Source organism: Homo sapiens, chromosome 20, assembly GCF_000001405.40.
Source record: "Homo sapiens chromosome 20, GRCh38.p14 Primary Assembly".
NCBI lineage: Eukaryota > Metazoa > Chordata > Mammalia > Primates > Hominidae > Homo > Homo sapiens.
Window position 1 is genome coordinate 35,680,178 of NC_000020.11, and position 17,286 is coordinate 35,697,463.

Here is a 17,286-nt window from a genome sequence, read left to right on the forward strand (position 1 = left end):
GCCTGTAGTCCCAGCTACTCGGCAGGCTGAGGCAGAAGAATGGCGTGAACCAGGGAGGTGGAGCTTGCAGTGAACCGAGATGGCGCCACTGCACTCCAGCCTGGGCGACTGAGCGAGACTCCGTCTCAAGAAAAAAAAAAAGAACACAAAGAGATGTCAAATCCCATGCAATCTTCCCCTGAGCTATAGCAAGACACTGGGAATGAGGGACTCAAATAGTTGCTCTGCACATCATAGTGGGGAAAACAAGATAGCTGGGCCTATCTAGATAAATTTGATTTGACAAAACCCATTTTTCCTCAACCAAATTAAGATCTACATGCTTGCTAAGGATTTGTTAAAGAGAGCAAGAAAGAATGGCCTGATGTATAGTAACTGCTAAGGTCTACAAACAAGCAAGTGTTTCTGGCTATTGCTAAATGACATTTGCATTCTACAAGGGACTCTGAATGTACAACTTCCTCTGAGAGCAACAGTAGTCCCAAATGACTGTGACAAACATCTATCAAAGGTCTTGCTGGAAGGTACAGAGAGAAGGAACTCTAGAAGGGGCTGGTACCTTTGGGACCGTAGATTTTGTGACCACTAATGCTCATGAGATCAATTTTCATGTCATTGACATCAAGTGGGATTTTTCCAACAGCCTGGGCTGCATCAGTATGGAAATATACCTTTCTGGAACTGCAAATCCGCCCTGAGGAAACAGAGGGGAAGACCCACAGCACAATGTTGGAAAGTCATCTGTCAGAGTCCCACAGTGCACTGTGAATTATCTCCAATAGTAAATGACCTGTAAATATTAAACTCCTCCCCTCCCTCCTTCTACCCCTTCTCCTTCCTCTTTTCCTTCCCTCCTCCCCCTTCCCCCTTCCTCCCTCTCTGTGTCTCAGTAGCTTCCCTTCTTTAGAATAAAAAAGATGAAGGGCAAAGCACCAGATCGAAACACTCGTGATATTCTTATGCATACAATTCTCACCACCTCATTAACACCAGCCTTTCAAAATGTCAGATTACTTTCTAGATCCCTTTTGATTAAAAAACAAACAAAACAAAATAAAAAAAAAAAAACAAGATTAACAGATCTTTGTGCTAATGTGCCTAAAGAAATTACAGGGCGATCTCTATGTGGGGAGAATAGAGATGTTCTAAAAGGAAAAAGAGTAGCAGGCTTTTTTGTTTTGTGGTTGGTTTTGGCAGCAACTGCAATAAAATTAAAAACCATAAAAGGTGCTAGACCTGGCCGGGAGCAGTGGCTCACGCCTGTAATCCCAGCACTTTGGGAGGCCAAGGCAGACGGATCACCTGAGGTTAGGAGTTCAAGACCAGCCTGGCCAACATGGCAAAACCTCATCTCTACTAAAAATACAAAAATTAGCCAGGCATAGTGGTACACACCTGTAGTCCCAGCTACTCAAGAGGCTGAGGCGGTAGGATCATTTGAACCCAGAGTGAGGAGGTTGCAGGGAGCTGAGATCACACCACTGCACTCCAGCCTAGGTGACAGAGTGATACTCTGTCTCAATGAAAAAAAAAATGGTAATAGACCTGGATTCAAATACTGCCTATGACACTTCCAATGTCCTTGAACAAAGTACTTAGGCTTTCCCTTGATTTCCTAACTACACTCCATAGAGTATTACAGCTCTCAGTATACTACCTCATACAGAGCCCCATGGTGGGCAGGGATCAGGGATAAGCCATGATACTCACCTATTTCTGCAATAGGCTGCTTCACTCCAATCTCATTGTTCACAGTCATGACTGACACCAGGCTAGTATCTGGCTGGATAGCAGCCTCTAGTTCCTAGGGATATGCAGGAGTAAGGTGACTAGATAGTACAAACAAAGTCCTCCTAAATCAGAATATAGGCAAACTTAGTCATGAAAAGGAGTCTTATACTACATACCTATCTGAATAGTTAACTAAAAACAGTGACAACACAAAATGTTGGTGAGGATGCACAGACTCTGAATGGTTCATACATTGTTAGTGGGAATGTAAATATCACAGCCACTTTGGAAAACAGTTTGACAGTTTCTGTTTCTCATCAAACTAAACATGAAATTACCATAGAACCCAGTAACTGTACACTTGGGCATTTATCCCAGAGAAATGAAAATTAAATTCACAAAACATCTTACACAAATGTTCACAATAACTTTATTCGTAATACCAAAAACCTAGAAACTACCCAGATTCCTTCAACAGACGATTTTCGTACATCCATAACATGGACTACTACTTATCAATCAAAAGGAACAAACTACTGGCACACGCAGCAGTGAATGAATTCCCAAAGACTTATGATTAGTGAAAAAAGCCAATAAAGGCCGGGCGCAATGGCTCACGCCTGTAATCCCAGCACTTTGGGAGGCTGAGGTTGGTGGGTGTCCTGAGATCGGAAGTTCGAGACCAGCCTGGCGAACAAGGAGAAACCCTGTCTCTACTAAAAATACAAAAATTAGCTGGGCCTGGTGGCACACACCTGTAGCCCCAGCCACTTCGGAGGTTGAGGCAGGAGAAATGCTTAAATCCAGGTTGCAGTAAGCTGAGATTGCACCACTGCAATCCAGCCTGGGTGACAGAGTGAGACTCTGCCTCAAAAAAAAAAAAAGAAAGGCCAGGTATGGTGGCTCACGCCTGTAATCCCAGCACTTTGGGAGGCTGAGGCAGGCGGATCGCAAGGTCAGGAGATCAAGACCATCCTGGCTAACACAGTGAAACCCTGTCTCTACTAAAAATACAAAAAATTAGCTGGGTGTGGTGGCAGGCACCGGTAGTCCCAGCTACTTGGGAGACTGAGGCAGGGGAATGGCGTGAACCTGGGAGGCGGAGCTTGCAGTGAGCGGAGATCACACCACTGCACTCCAGCCTGGGCAACAGAACAAGATTCCATCTCAAAAAACAAAACAAAACAAAACAAAAAAACAAAAACAAAAATAAAAAAGCCAATCCCAGAAGGTTACATACTGTATGATTCCATCCACATGACAGTATGAAATGACAAAATTAAAGAAACTGCCAGCCGGGTGTGGTGGCTCACGAATGTAATCCCAGGACTTTGGGAGGCGGAGGCGGGTGGATCAGAAGGTCAGAAGTTCAAGACCAGCCTGGCCAAGATGGTGAAACCCCGTCTCTACTAAAAATACAAAAATTAGCCGGGCGCAGTGGCAGGCACCTGTAATCCCAGCTACTTGAGAGGCTGAGGCAGGAGAATCGCTTGAACCCGGGGGGCAGAGGTTGCAGTGAGCTGAGATCAAGCCACTGCACTCCAGCCTGGGCAACAGAGTGAGACTCCGTCTCAAAAAAATTTAAAAAAAGGCCAGGCACGGTGGCTCACACCTGTAATCCAAGCACTTTGGGAGGCTGAGGCGGGCGTATCACAAAGTCAAGAGATCGAGACCATCCTGGCTAACATGGTGAAACCTTGTCTCTACTAAAAATACAAAACATTAGCCAGGCATGGTGGCACGCGCCCTGTAGTCCCAAGCTACTAGGGAGGCTGAGGCAGGAGAATCGCTTGAACCTGGGAGGCAGAGGTTGCAGTGAGCCGAGATTGCACCACTGCACTCCATGCACTCCAGCCTGGGCAACAGAGTGAGACTCCATCTCAAAAAAAAAAAAAAAAAAAAAAGAAAGAAAGAAATTGCTGGGTATGGTGGCTCACACCTGGGTATGGTGGCTCACGCCTGTAATCCCAGCACTTCGGCAGATCACCTGAGGTCAGGAGTTCGAGACCAGCCTGGCCAACATGGTGAAAGCACTGCTCTACTAAAAATACAAAAATACCTGGGCATGGCGGCAGGTGCCTGTAATCCCAGCTACTCGGGAGGCTGAGGTAGGAGAATTGCTTGACCTCGGGAGGCAGAGGTTGCAGTGAGCCAACACTGTGCCATTGCACTCCAGCTGGGGCGACCAGAGCAAAACTCTGTCTCAAAAATAAAATAGGCTGTGTGTGGTGACTCACGCCTGTAATCCCAGCACTTTGGGAGGCCGAGGCGGGCGGATCACAAGGTCAGGAGAGCGAGACCATACTGCCTAACACAGTGAAACCCCATCTCTAAAAATACAAAAAATTAGCCAGGCGTGGTGGCGGGCGCCTATAGTTCCAGCTACTTGGGGAAGGGGCTGAGGCAGGAGAATGGCGTGAACCTGGGAGGCGGAGGTTGCAGTGAGCAGAGATCGCGCCACTGCACTCCAGCCTGGGAGACAGAGCAAGACTCCATCTCAAATAAATAAAATAAAATAAAATAAAATAAAATAAAATAAAATAAAATAAAATAAAATAAGGGCCGGGCATGGTGGCTCACGCCTGGAATCCCAGCACTTTGGAAGGCTGAAATAGGTGGATCATTTGAGGTCAGGAGTTTGGACCAGCCCAGCCAACATGGTGAAACCCTGTCTCTACTAAAAATACAAAAATCAGTGGAGCATGGTGGCAGACACCTGTAATCCAAGCTACTTAGGAGGCTGAGGCAGGAGAATCATTTGAACCCAGGTGGCAGAGGTTGCAATGAGCCAAGTTCACACCACTGCACTCCAGCCTGTGTGACAGAGCAAGACTCCCATCTCAATAAAAAATAAATAAAAAATAAATAAATATAGCTGGGGATGGTGGCTCATACCTACAATCCTAGCACTTTGGGAGGCTGAGGTCAGAGGACAGCTTGAGCCAAGGAGTTTGAGACCAGCCTTGCAACATAGGGAGACCCTGTCTCTTTTTTCTTCAGATGGAGTCTTGCTCTGTTTCCCAAGGTGGAGTGCAGTGGCGGGGTCTCACTCACTGCAACCTCCGCCTCCCAGGTTCAAGTGGTTCTCCTACCTCAGCCTCCTGAGTAGCCGAGATTATGGGCAGACACCACCACACCCGGCTAATTTTTGTATTTTTAGTAGAGACGGGGTTTTACCATGTTGGCCAGGCTAGTCTCGAACTCCTGACTTCAGGTGATCCACCCACCTTGGCCCCCAAAGTGCTGGGATTATAGGCATGAGCCACAGCACCTGGCCAAGGGAGACCCTGTCTCTACAAAAAGAAAAAAGAAAAAAATTAGCTGGGCATCATAGCCTGCGCCTATAGTTCCAGCTACTCAGGAAGGAGGCTGAGGTGGGAGGATCATTTGAGCCTAGGAGGTCAAGGCTGCTGTAAGCCTTGGTGGTTCCAGAGCAAGTTCCTCTCTCATTCATAAATAAATATATAGCCAGGTGTGGTGGCACACATCTCTAGTTCTAGCTGCTTAGGATGCATAGGCACAAGAATCGCTTGAACTTAGAAGGCGGAGACTGCAGTGAGCCGAGGTCATGTCACTGCACTCCAGCCTGGGCAACAGAGCAAGACCATGTCTCATAAAAAAAAATTATATATTATATATATAAAATATTTTATATATATATATATAGCAGCCGGGCGCAGTGGCTCACGCCTGTAATCCCAGCATTTTGAGAGGCCGAGACAGGCGGATCACCTGAGGTCAGGCACTTGAGACCAGCCTGACCAACATGGTGAAACCCCATCTCTACTAAAAATACAAAATTAGCCAGGTGTGGTAGCGCATGCCTATAATCCCAGCTACTGAGGAGGCTAAGTCAGGAGAATTGCTTGAACCCGGGAGGCGGAGGTTGCGATGAGCTGAGATCGCGCCACTGCACTCCAGCCTGGGCAACAAGAGCGAAATTCAGTACCCCCCCGCAAAAAAAAAAAAAAAAGAAACACAGGGGTAAAACTCCATGACCTTGGATTTCAAAATGAATTCTTTCTTTATTTTTTTTTTGAGATGGAGTCTTGCTTTTGTCACCCAGGCTAGAGTGCAATGGCACGATCTCGGCTCACTGCAACCTCCGCCTCCTGGGTTCAAGCAATTCTGCTGCCTCACCCTCCCAAGTAGCTGGGATTACAGGCGCCCTCAACCACACCCGGCTAATTTTTGTATTTTTTAGTAGAGACGGGGTTTCACCATGTTGGCCAGGCTGGTCTTGAACTTCTGACCTCAGATGAACTGGTCACCTCGGCCTCCAACTCCCGACCTCAGGTGATCCGCCTCCCAAAGTGCTGGGATTACAGCTACTCAGAAGGCTGAGGCAGGAAAATCGCTTGAACCCGGGAGGCGGAGGTTGTGGTGAGCAGAGAGCATGCCATTGCACTCCAGCCTGGGCAATAAGAGCGAAACTCCATCTCAAAAAAAAAAAAAAAAAAAAGTGCAAATGACAAAAGAAAAATACATAGCTTTCTTTTATGAAGTGATGAAAATGTCCTGGAATATGACAGTGATGATTGTTGGAAACTGTGAATACATTAAAAGCCAGTGAATTGTATAATTTCAAAAGATGAATGTTATGGTATGTGAATTACATCAGAAATTTCTAAGTGCTTAAAAAGGCACCATGTAAAGAACTCTGAATATCAGGCAAAATGAAGTTATAATTCATGTCAAAGGAAATGGGAAATCTCTCAAGATTTTTGAGTAAAGTGAGAAAAGGCCAAATAAGTACTTTAGAAATAAAGTCTGATGAGGATGTGCAGGACACACTGGAAGGTTGTTGCTAAAGGTGTGGGCAGCAAGCCACCCAGGTGCCGAGGCAAGAGACCAAGGGCACGAGCTGTTCCAGTATAATAAAATATATAAAATAAGAATAGTTATACTAGATATAGATCTTAGATATGATTATATATGAATATCATTAATCATTAGTTTGTAGTGATTACTCTTTATTCTAATATTATAATAATCCTCGCTCTACAATCATAACCTAGGAAAAACCAGGCCATACAGAGATAGGAGCTGAGGGGACATAGTGAGAAGTGACCAGAAGACAAGAGGCGAGCCTTCTGTTATGCGTGGACAGGGCCACCAGAGGGCTCCTTGGTCTAGCGGTAACGCCAGCATCTGGGAAGACGCCCTTTGCCAAGCAGACCATGGTCTAGCGGTAGCGTCAGTGTCAAGGAAAAACACCCACTACTTAGCAGACCAGGAAAGGGAATCCCCCTTTCCCCGGGGGAGTTTAGAGAAGACTCTACTCCTCCACCTCTTGTGGAGGGCCTGACATCAGGCCTGCCCGCAGTTATCTGGAGGCCTAACCGTCTCCCTGTGATGCTGTGCTTCAGTGGTCACACTCCTAGTCTGTCTTCATGTTCCATCCTGTACACCTGGCTCTGCCTTTTCGTTAGCAGTAGCAAATTAGTGAAAGTACTAAAAGTCTCTGATAAGCAGAAATAATGGCGTAAGCTGTCTCTCTCTCTCTCCTCTCTCTCTCTCTCTCTCTCTCTGCCTTGGCTGCCAGGCAGGGAAGGGCCCCCTGTCCAATGGACACGTGACCCACGTGACCTTACCTATCATTAGAGATGGCTCACACTCCTTACCCTGCCCCTTTGTCTTGTATCCAATAAATATCAGCGCAGGCTGGCATTCGGGGCCACTACCAGTCTCCGTGCCTTGGTGGTAGTGGTCCCCTGGGCCCAGCTGTCTTTTCTTTTATCTCTGTCTTGTGTCTTTATTTCTACGCTCTCTCGTCTCTGCACATGGGGAGAAAACCCACCGACCCTGTGGGGCTGGACCCTACAAAAGGACTAGTTCAGGCAACAGAGATTAAAGTCCAGAGGCAGCTAAGATGCAGGATACAATCCAAACAAAGAAATGAGAGGAGGCCGAGAAAGGTGGCTCACATCTGTAATCCCAGTGCTTTGGGAGGCCAAGGTAGGAGGATCACTTGAGTCCAGGAGTTCACCACCAGCCTGGAGAATGTACTGAGATGTTGCCTCTATAAAAAATGTTTAAAAATTTAGCAGGCTGGCCAGGCACAGTGGCTCACGTCTATAATCTCAGCACTTTGGGAGGCCAGGGTGGGCAGATCACCATAAGTAAGGAGTTAGAGACTAGCCTGGCCAACATGGTGAAACCCTGACTCTACTAATAATACAAAAAAATTAGCTGGGCGTGGTGGTGGCACATGCCTGTAATCTCGGCTACTTGAGAGGCTGAGGCAGGAGAATCACTTGAACCCGGGAGGCAGAGGTTGCAACGAGCCAAGATCGTGCCATTGCACTCCAGCCTGGGTGACAAGAGTGAAACTCCATCTCAAGAAAAAAAAAAAATTTAGCCAGGCCAGCTGCAGTGGCTCTTGCCTATAATCCCAGCACTTTGGGGGGCCAAGACGGGTGGATCATTTGAGGTCAGGAGTTTGAGACCAGCCTGGCCAAGATGATAAAACCCTTTCTCTACTAAAAATACAAAAAAATTATCTGGGTGTGGTGGTGTATGCCTGTAGTCCTTGCTGCTCGGTAGGCTAAGGTGGGAGAATCGTTTGAACCCAGGAAGCAGTGGTTTCAGTGAGCCAAGATCGTGCCACTGCATTCCAGCCTGGGAGACAAGGCAATATTCCATCTCAAAAAACAAAACAAAAATAAAAATTTAGCCAGGTGAGGTGAGCCCAGGAGTCTGAGGCCGCAGTGAGCTATGAGCCCAGAAGTCTGAGGCCACAGTGAGCTATGACCATACCACTGCACTCCAGCCTGGACAACTCAGCAAGACCCTGTCTCCAAAAAAAGAAAGACAGAGGGAGAGAGAGAGAGAGGGAGGGAGGAAAAGAGGGAGGGAGGGAAAAGAGGGAGAAAGGAAGGAAGGGAGGCAGGGAGGGAAGAAGGGAAGGTGGGAGTGAGGGAGGGAAAAGTATAATTCCAGAGACATTATAAGGAAATGGCCATAGATATAAATGTTACTGATTGATGACTGAATGTAAATAAGATGAAAAAGAGAGGAAATAATGAATGATGAGAACACTTTGGAGTTTGGATTGAGGGGTCCATCTACAAACAGCATGTTAGGATTTGTCTAGGAATGCTGATATCCAAAATCTGGTGGATAAGATTCAAGAAAATGACACTACTTCTTTAGCAGGATGAGAAGCATCAGTGCAGGGAAGGAGGAGGCCAGAGCTTTGCCATGGTGAATGTGAGTCCCTGGCATCCTGCACATGTGGCCAGTGGCTCCCATACAAACCAGAAAACACCAACAAATGCAAGAAACATGTCCTCCAGGCCAGGTACAGTGGCTCATGCCTGTAATCCCAGCACTCTGGGAGTCCGAGATGGGTGGATCACCTGAGGTCAAAAGGTCAAGACCAGCCTGACCAACATGGTGAAACTCTGTCTCTACTAAAAATACAAAAATTAGAGCCAGGCATGGCGGCTCATGCCTGTAATCCCAGCACTTTGGGAGGCCGAGGCAGGTGGATCACGAGGTCAGGAGTTCGAGACCAGCCTGGCCAATATGGTGAAACCCCATCTCTACTAAAAATATAAAAAATTAGCCAAGTGTGGCCGGGCACGGTGGCTCACGCCTGTAATCCCAGCACTTTGGGAGGCCGAAGTGGGTGGATCACGAGGTCAGGAGATAGAGACCATCCTGGCTAACATGGTGAAACCCCGTCTCTACTAAAATACAAAAAAACACTAGCAAGGCGTGGTGGTGCATGCCTGTAATCCCAGCTACTTGGGAGGCCGAGGCAGGGGAGTCGCTTGAACCCGGGAGGCAGAGGTTGCAGTGAGCCAAGATCGCGCCACTGCACTCCAGCCTGGCAATACAGCGAGACTCTGTTTTAAAAAAAAAAAAAAAAAAAATTAGCCAGGTGTGGTGGCACGTGCCTGTAGTCCCAGCTACTCAGGAGGCTGAGGCAGGAGAATCACTTGAACCCGGGAGGTGGAGGTTGCAGTGGAGTGCCACTGCACTCCTGCCTAGGTGACAGAATGAGACTCTGCCTCAAAAAAAAAAAAAAAAAAAATTAACTGGGCCTGGTGGCATGCGTCTGTAATCCCAGCTACTCGGGAGGGTGAGGCAGGAGAATCATTAGAACCCAGGAGGCGGAGGTTGCAGTGAGCCGAGATCGCGCCACTGCATTCCAGCCTGAGTTATAAGAGCCAAACTCTGTCTCAAAATAAAAAAAAGAAGTAACAAGTCCTCCAGAGGTTGCAGAGAGCTGAGATCAAGCCACTGCACTCTAGCCTGGGCAAAAGAGTGAGACTCCATCTCAAAAAAAAGAAAAAGAAACAAGTCCTCCAGAGAAAAGGAGGACAGTACACACTCAAGGGGAACATGATCTCGTTCTCTGCCAGGCTTATTTCTCTAAACTTCATCCTAACTGTTAGATCTATTCCTTCAAGCTCCAGCTAGGGCCCAAGAGAGAAATTTACAAGCTGAAGCCAGGCTCCTCCATTTTTGCTCCTCCTGCCAATAGCCACTCCTACCTTTAGGTCAATGATCCCACTCTTCTGCACTGGGAGGTAGGTGACCTGAAAGCCCTCAGCTTCCAGTGAACGGCAGGAGTCCAAGACACATTTGTGTTCTGTCTGGGTGGTGATCAAGTGCTTTTTCCGTGACCTGTAGAATCGGGCCACCCCCTAGAAATTGGTGGTGACAGATGGAAGGAGAACATACTCAGAGAGACAGCAATGACTTCAATCTCATTTGTAAAGGAAAAGTGGGCAAGAACAGTATGCTCCAACACCAGTTCTCTCATACCAACTGAGTATCCTATAATTCAATTCTGAGGCTAACTCTCCAGACTTAGTGAAAACCCCATGGGTTAAGGGCTCAATCGTACAAGACTGCCCCTAGTTCAGATACCAGACATAAGTCCCAGGGGTCTCAAGCTACCCATACTTCTGCCCAGTCAAATACAAATTCAGGGCTTCCCGAAGCCCGGTCAAGTTCAATAATTCACTAGAATAAATCACATTTGTCCAAACCCATAGAATGTACAACACCAGTGAATCCTAATATAAGCTATGGACTTTGGGTGATAATGATGTATCAATATCAGGTCATCAATTGCAACAAATGTACCACTTGATGGAGGATGCTAATAATGGCAGAAGGCTGTGCATACCTGGGGGCAGGGCATATATAGGAAATTTCTATACCTTCCTTTCAATTTTGCTGTGAACCTAAAACTGCTATAAAAAATAAAATCTATTAAAATAATAATAGTATACAGATTAATGTAGGTATTTAAAAATCTGGAGAAATATACAGCAAATTAGCAGTGAAAATGTGTTTAGAGTTCTACTCTATATTATTGGAATTTATGATTCATTCATTTAACCAATATTTAGCACCTCCAGTATCCCAAGTAATTTTCTAGGTGCCAGTGATATAACAGTAAACAAGTCATGAGTAGGTATTACTGTTAATATCACAAGAAACAATAAAGGTACATTTAAAAATTCCTGGAATTTCAACTATTACAAGAAACTAAAAAAAACATTTATCTCATTGAAGAAAAAAAAAAAGCGGCCAGGTGCAGTGCCTCACGACTGTAATCCGAGCACTTTGGGAGGCCGAGGCAGGTGGATCATCTAAGGTCAGGAGTTTGAGACCAGCCTGGCCAACATGGGGAAACCCCATCTCTACTAAAAATTAAAAAATAAGCCAGGCCCGGTGGCACGCACCTGTAATCCCAACTACTCAGGAGGCTGAGGGAGGGGAATCACTTGAAATCAGGAGGCAGAGGTTGCAGTGAGCCAAGAGTGCTATTGCACTCCAGCCTGGGCAACAGAGCGAGACTGCATCTCAAAAAAAAAAAAAAAAAAAAAAAAAAAGAACGCCAGGTGCAGTGGCTCATGCCTGTAATCCCTCCACTTTGGGAGGCTCAGGCAGGTGGATCACGAGGTCAGGAGTTTGAGACCAGCCTGACGAACATGGTGGAACCCCATCTCTACTAAAAATACAAAAATGGCCAGGCGCGGTGGCTCACACCTGTAATTCCAACACTTTGGGAGGCCGAGAAGGGAGGGTCACCTAAGGTCGGGAGTTCAAGACCAGCCTGACCAACATGGAAAAACTCCGTCTCTACTAAAAAAAATACAAAAATTAGCCAGGCGTGGTAGTACATGCCTGTAATCCCAGATACTCTGGAGGCTGAGGCAGGAGAATCGCTTGAACCCAGGAGTTGGAGGCTGCAGTGAGCCGAGGTCACGCCATTGCACTTCAGCCTGGGCAACAAGAGCAAAACTCTGTCTCAAAAAATAAATAAATAAATAAAAATAAAAATACAAAAATTAGCGAGGTGTGGTGGCACGCACCTGTAATCCCGGCTACTCAGGAGGATGAGGCAGGAGAATCGCTTGAACCTGGGAGGCAGAGGTTGCAGTGAGCCGAGATCATGCCCCTACACTCTAGCCTGGGCGACAGGGTGAGACTCCATCTCAAAATAAATAAATAAATTAATTAATTAAAAAAAAAAAAGGGGGCTGGATGTGGTGGTGGCTAATGCCTATAATCCCACCACTTTGGGAGACTAAGGCAGGAGGATCGCTTGAGCTCAGGAGTTCAAGACCAGCCTGAGCAACATCATCTATACTAAAAAAAAAAAAAAAAAAAAAAAAAAAAAAATTAGCCTGGCGTGGTGGTACACATCTGTAGTCCCAGCTACTCAGGAGGATCACCTGAGCCAAGGAGGTCAAGGCTGCAGTGAGCTGAGATCTGGCTACTGCACTCCAGCCTAGGTGAGATCAAGACTCTGTCTCAAAAAACAGAAAAAAGAAAAAAAAATGGGCCAGGAGCAGTGGTTCACACCTGTAATCCCAGCACTTTGGGAGACTGAGGCAGGTGGATCACCTGAGGTCAGAAGTTTGAGACCAGCCTAGTCAACATGGCGAAACCCCGTCTCTACTAAAAATACAAAAATTAGCTGGGTGTGGTAGCAGGCTCCTGTAATCCCAGCTACTCAGGAAGATGAGGCAGGAGAATCGCTTGAACCCTGGAGGCAGAAGTTGTAGTAAGCCAAGATTACGGCACTGCACTCCAGCCTGGGTGACACAGCAAGACTCCCCCTTGGGAAAAAAAAAAAGAATTAACAGTATCAACTTTGCAGAACAGGATCAGGGACTGGGGTCCTTGGGGAAGGAGAGGAAGATTTACACTTCATTTTATTTTATTTTTGTTTATTTATTTTTTGAGACGGTCTCATTCTGTCACCCAGGCTGGAGTGCAGTGGTGTGGTCTCGGCCCACTGCAACCTCTGCCTCCCGAGTTCAAGCAATTCTCTTGTCTCAGCCTCCCGAGTAGCTGGGACTACAGCCACCACACCCAGCTAATTTTTTGTATTTTTTAGTAGAGATGGTGTTTCACCATTTTGCCCAGGATGGTCTCGAACTCCTGAGCTCAGACAACCTGCCTGCCTCGGCCTCCCAATGTGCTAAGATCACAGGCTTGACCCACTGCACCCGGCCTACACTTCATTTTAAATCTTTCCATTGGTTTTAAAAAAACACACCATATGTGACAGAATTATTTTTCAAAAATTAAAAACTTGGAAAGAAAATGTGCATCTCTCCCCAGAGCTTATAAAAGACTATTACCTTTAACAGCAGAATAAAAAGCCAGGTGCAGTGGCTCAAGCCAGTAATCCCAGAACTTTGGGAGGCAAAGGCAGGAGGATCACATGAGCCCAGGAGTTCAAGACCAGCCTGGGCAACATAATGAGAGCCGCATCTCTACAAAAATTAAAATAACAGGCCGGGCGCGGTGGTTCACACCTGTAAAACCAGCACTTCGGTTGGCCAAGGCAGGCGGATCACAAGGTCAGGAGATCGAGACCATCTTGGCTAACATGGTGAAACCCCATCTCTACTAAAAATAGAAAAATTAGCCAGGCGTGGTGGTGGGAGCCTGTAGTCCTACCTACTCAGGAGGCTGAGGCAGGAGAATGGCGTGAACCCAGGAGGCAGAGCTTGCAGTGAGCTGAGATCACGCCACTGCACTCCAGCCTGGGCGACAGAGCCAGGCTCCATCTCAAAAAAAAATAAATAAATAAATTAAAATAACAAAATTAGACAGGCGTGCTAGTACACGCCTGTAAGCCTAGCTACTTGGGAGGCTAAGATGAGAGGATTGCTTGAGTCCAGGAGTTCAAGGCTCCAGTGAGCTGTGATTGTGCAACTGCACCCCAGCCTAGGTGACAGAATGAGACCATGTCTTTTTTTTTTTTTTTTTTGAGACAGAGTTTCGCCCTTGTTGCTACAGTGCAATGGCGCAATCTCGGCCCACTGCAACTGCAACCTCTGCCTCCTGGGTTCAACTGATTCTCCTGCCTCAGCCTTCCAAGTAGCTAGGACTACAGGGGTGTGCCACCACACCCAGGTAGTTTTTGCATTTTTAGTAGAGACGGGGTTTTACCATGTTGGTCAGGCTGGTCTCGAACTCCTGATCTCAGATGATCTGCCGGTCTCAGCCTCCCAAAGTGCTGGGATTACAGGTGTAAGCCACTGGGCCCGGCTGAGACCCTGTCTTATAAAAAATAAACACATAAATAAAATAAAAGCAGAATATTAAACCATATAGGACAAAATTATAACTATGTAAAAATGGTCTGTTCATGAGGACAAAGAACATAAATGAGAAACATTTATAATTGATTTATACTCTATTTTATCCTAAAAAGTATTTACATCAGTAAGTAAAAATGGTTGTGGGGCACTTTGGGAGGCCGAGGAGGGCGGATCACGAGGTCAGGAGATCGAGACCATTCTGGCTAACACAGTGAAACCCTGTCTCTACTAAAAATACAAAAAATTAGCCGGGTGTGGTGGAGGGCGCCTGTAGTCCCAGCTACTCAGGAGGCTGAGGCAGGAGAATGGCGTGAACCCAGGAGGCGGAGCTTGCAGTGAGTCAAGATCGTGCCACTGCACTCCAGCCTGGATGACAGAGTGAGACTCAGTCTAAAAAAAAAAAAAGAAAAAATGGTTGTGGGATGGTGATGATAGTTCAAAATGTTACAGTTGTTTATAAAAATTTCATTTAAATGACATTTCACCACCCACCCACCTTATTTTATCTCAGTTACCCATGATGTAGATTTCTTTAACAATTTATAGATTATTTTACTCTACCAATCATGGAGATTAAAAGAAACATCATCACAGGTACTCTTAGCGATCCTTGACCTGTTGGTTTGGAATCTGTGGAGACTTCCAAAGAAAATATTTTCGAAGTTTTGAAAATGCTCTCCATTTCAGAAACCATCTCCACCTTTGGAGGAACCTTCACCCCGACTCTCTGGTCTCTGCAGTCCCAAGGAAGGATGCCTTCCTGTTAACATGATCAGGCAGAGTGCTGATGACCCTGAAGCCCGTCCTAGGCCTCCTATATTCAGGCCAAGGTCAAAGAAACCAACACTGGCAGCACAGTTCAAAGACAAAGATGAGAGCAAGTGGAGCCAGAGTTCAAAGTACAGCAAGCCACAATTTCTCAGAGCCTTGGCATTTACTCACATAATCCTGGCAACCAGGCCCAGTGAAATCTGACTATGTTCTATGAAACACCAACGTGACTACTAAAAGTACCTTTTCCTTGCATTAGCACCAAAGATCTTCTATGTACCCAGGACAAAATGACTGATCCCAGAATGGGTGACCATGTGAATGCCTGCAGAGGGCACCACAAAGACAAGCACTTCAAAATGGAGATATCTAAAGAAACAGGAGGAACTTGTTGCAAATAGATCTGATCAGAAAGAAAAAGGAAGGCTGAGAGGAGGACAGCCCTGAAATCACATATATAACTTGTTGTTACTAGATAAAAAGAATGGAGAAAGGCCGGGTACGGTGGCTCACACCTGTAATCCCAGCACTTTGGGAGGTCGAGATGGGAGGATCATCAGGTCAAGAGATTGAGATCATCCTGGCCAATATGGTGAAACCCCATCTCTACTAAAAATATAAAAATTAGTTGGGCATGGTGGCGGGCACCTGTACTCCCAGCTACTCTGGAGGCTGAGGCAGGAGAATCACTTGAACCTGGGAGGTGGAGTTTGCAGTGAGCTGAGATTGCGCCACTGCACTCCAGCCTGGCGACAGAGTGAGACTATGTATCAAAAAAAAAAAGAAGAATGGAGAAAAGGTTCAATCACCATTATCCACTCTCTGAAGTAACTGCCAGACAAAAAAAAAACAAGTGGTTAATGGCCTGAGGGCCACCTCCTTTGCTATCCAACTGCCTCACTCAACTCAGACCAACAGCAGCAAAGACTTAAGAAAGAGTAGACTGCAAAGGGTTAAAGGAAGCAACAAATCAGAAAGACTGCAAGCCTTCTCTTCACAATGGGGTGGGGATGGATGGCTGCGAAATACATATACGAGTCCAAATGATGGAGGGACACTATCTCCTAGGTCAGGAAAGCCCACATACACCCTCTGGTTCCCTTCTCTTACCTTAATTGCTATGTTGTTGGATTCAGTAGCACCACTAGTAAAAATGATCTCACGAGGATCAGCTCCAATCAGAGATGCTACTTGCTGCAAGCCAAGAAACAGAGATATATAACATCAGTTCCCCAGGCAGAAATAGAGCTGCAGACACAGGTGGGACAGCCCTGGAGCAAGAAGAGCTCCACTGCATTCCACCAAATTGCCCTGGATGAAGGTCTGCACCTACAAGAATCAGATTCTAGTTATATCCCAGATCCCAGGCTCTTTTCCAGCCCAATGCAAAATAATAACTTTTTTTTTTTAATGAACTATTGGCCAGGTGTGGTGGGTCACTCCTGTAACCCCAGCACTTTGGGAGGCCGAGGTGGAAAGATCACCTGAGGTCAGGAGTTCGAGACCAACCTGGCCAACATGGTGAAACTCCATTTCTACTAAGAATACAAAAATATTAGGCCGGGCATGGTGGCTCAAGCCTGTAATCCCAGCACTTTGGGAGGCTGAGGCAGGTGGATCACCTGAGGTCGGGAATTCAAGACCAGCCTGACCAACATGGAGAAACCCCGTCTCTACTAAAAATACAAATTTACCCGGGTGTGGTGGCGCATGCCTGTAATCCCAGCTACTTGGGAGGCTGAGGTAGGAGAACTGCTTGAACCCGGGAGGCAGAGGTTGCAGTGAGCCGAGATCGTGCCACTGCACTGCAGCCTGGGTAACAAGAGCAAAACTCTGTCTCAAATAATAGTAAATAAATAAATAAATAAAAATACAAAAATATTAGCTAGGCATGGTGGCGTGTGCCTGTAATCCCAATTACTTGGGAGGCTGAGGCAGCAGAATCACTTGAACCCGGGAGGCAGAGGTTGCAGTGAGCCAAGATCGTGCGCCACTGCACTCCAGTCTGGGCAACAAATGTGAAAACTCCATCTCATAAAAAAAAAAAAAAAGAACTATTGAGCTCTTACTATTTATAGTACTTCTTACTTACAGATGTTGTGGTAATAAACACTTTATCAGCATTGTCTTATTTAATCCACCCAGTAACCCTACAGAGTAGAAACTACCACAATCTCTGTTTTAAATGAGGAAAATA

General features: G+C 46.2%; 1 protein-coding gene across 3 annotated transcripts in view; it reads right to left on the minus strand.

The window, feature by feature from the left end:
* The window catches only part of NFS1 (NFS1 cysteine desulfurase), a 31,301-nt gene that overhangs the window by 12,126 nt on the left and 1,889 nt on the right, over window positions 1–17,286 (minus strand). The window contains exons 4-8 of one of the 3 annotated variants that reach the window (NR_037570.3): window positions 16,200–16,283; window positions 12,072–12,193; window positions 10,236–10,388; window positions 1,711–1,804; window positions 560–694 (exon numbers count right to left, since the gene is read on the minus strand). Coding sequence is in view for 2 of the 3 variants with exons in the window: in NM_021100.5 (NP_066923.3) it covers window positions 560–694; window positions 1,711–1,804; window positions 10,236–10,388; window positions 16,200–16,283 (466 nt within the window). In the remaining variant the exon portion in view is untranslated. The remainder of the gene's footprint in view (window positions 1–559; window positions 695–1,710; window positions 1,805–10,235; window positions 10,389–12,071; window positions 12,194–16,199; window positions 16,284–17,286) is intronic. The other 2 variants (NM_021100.5, NM_001198989.2) reach the window with 2 other exon arrangements.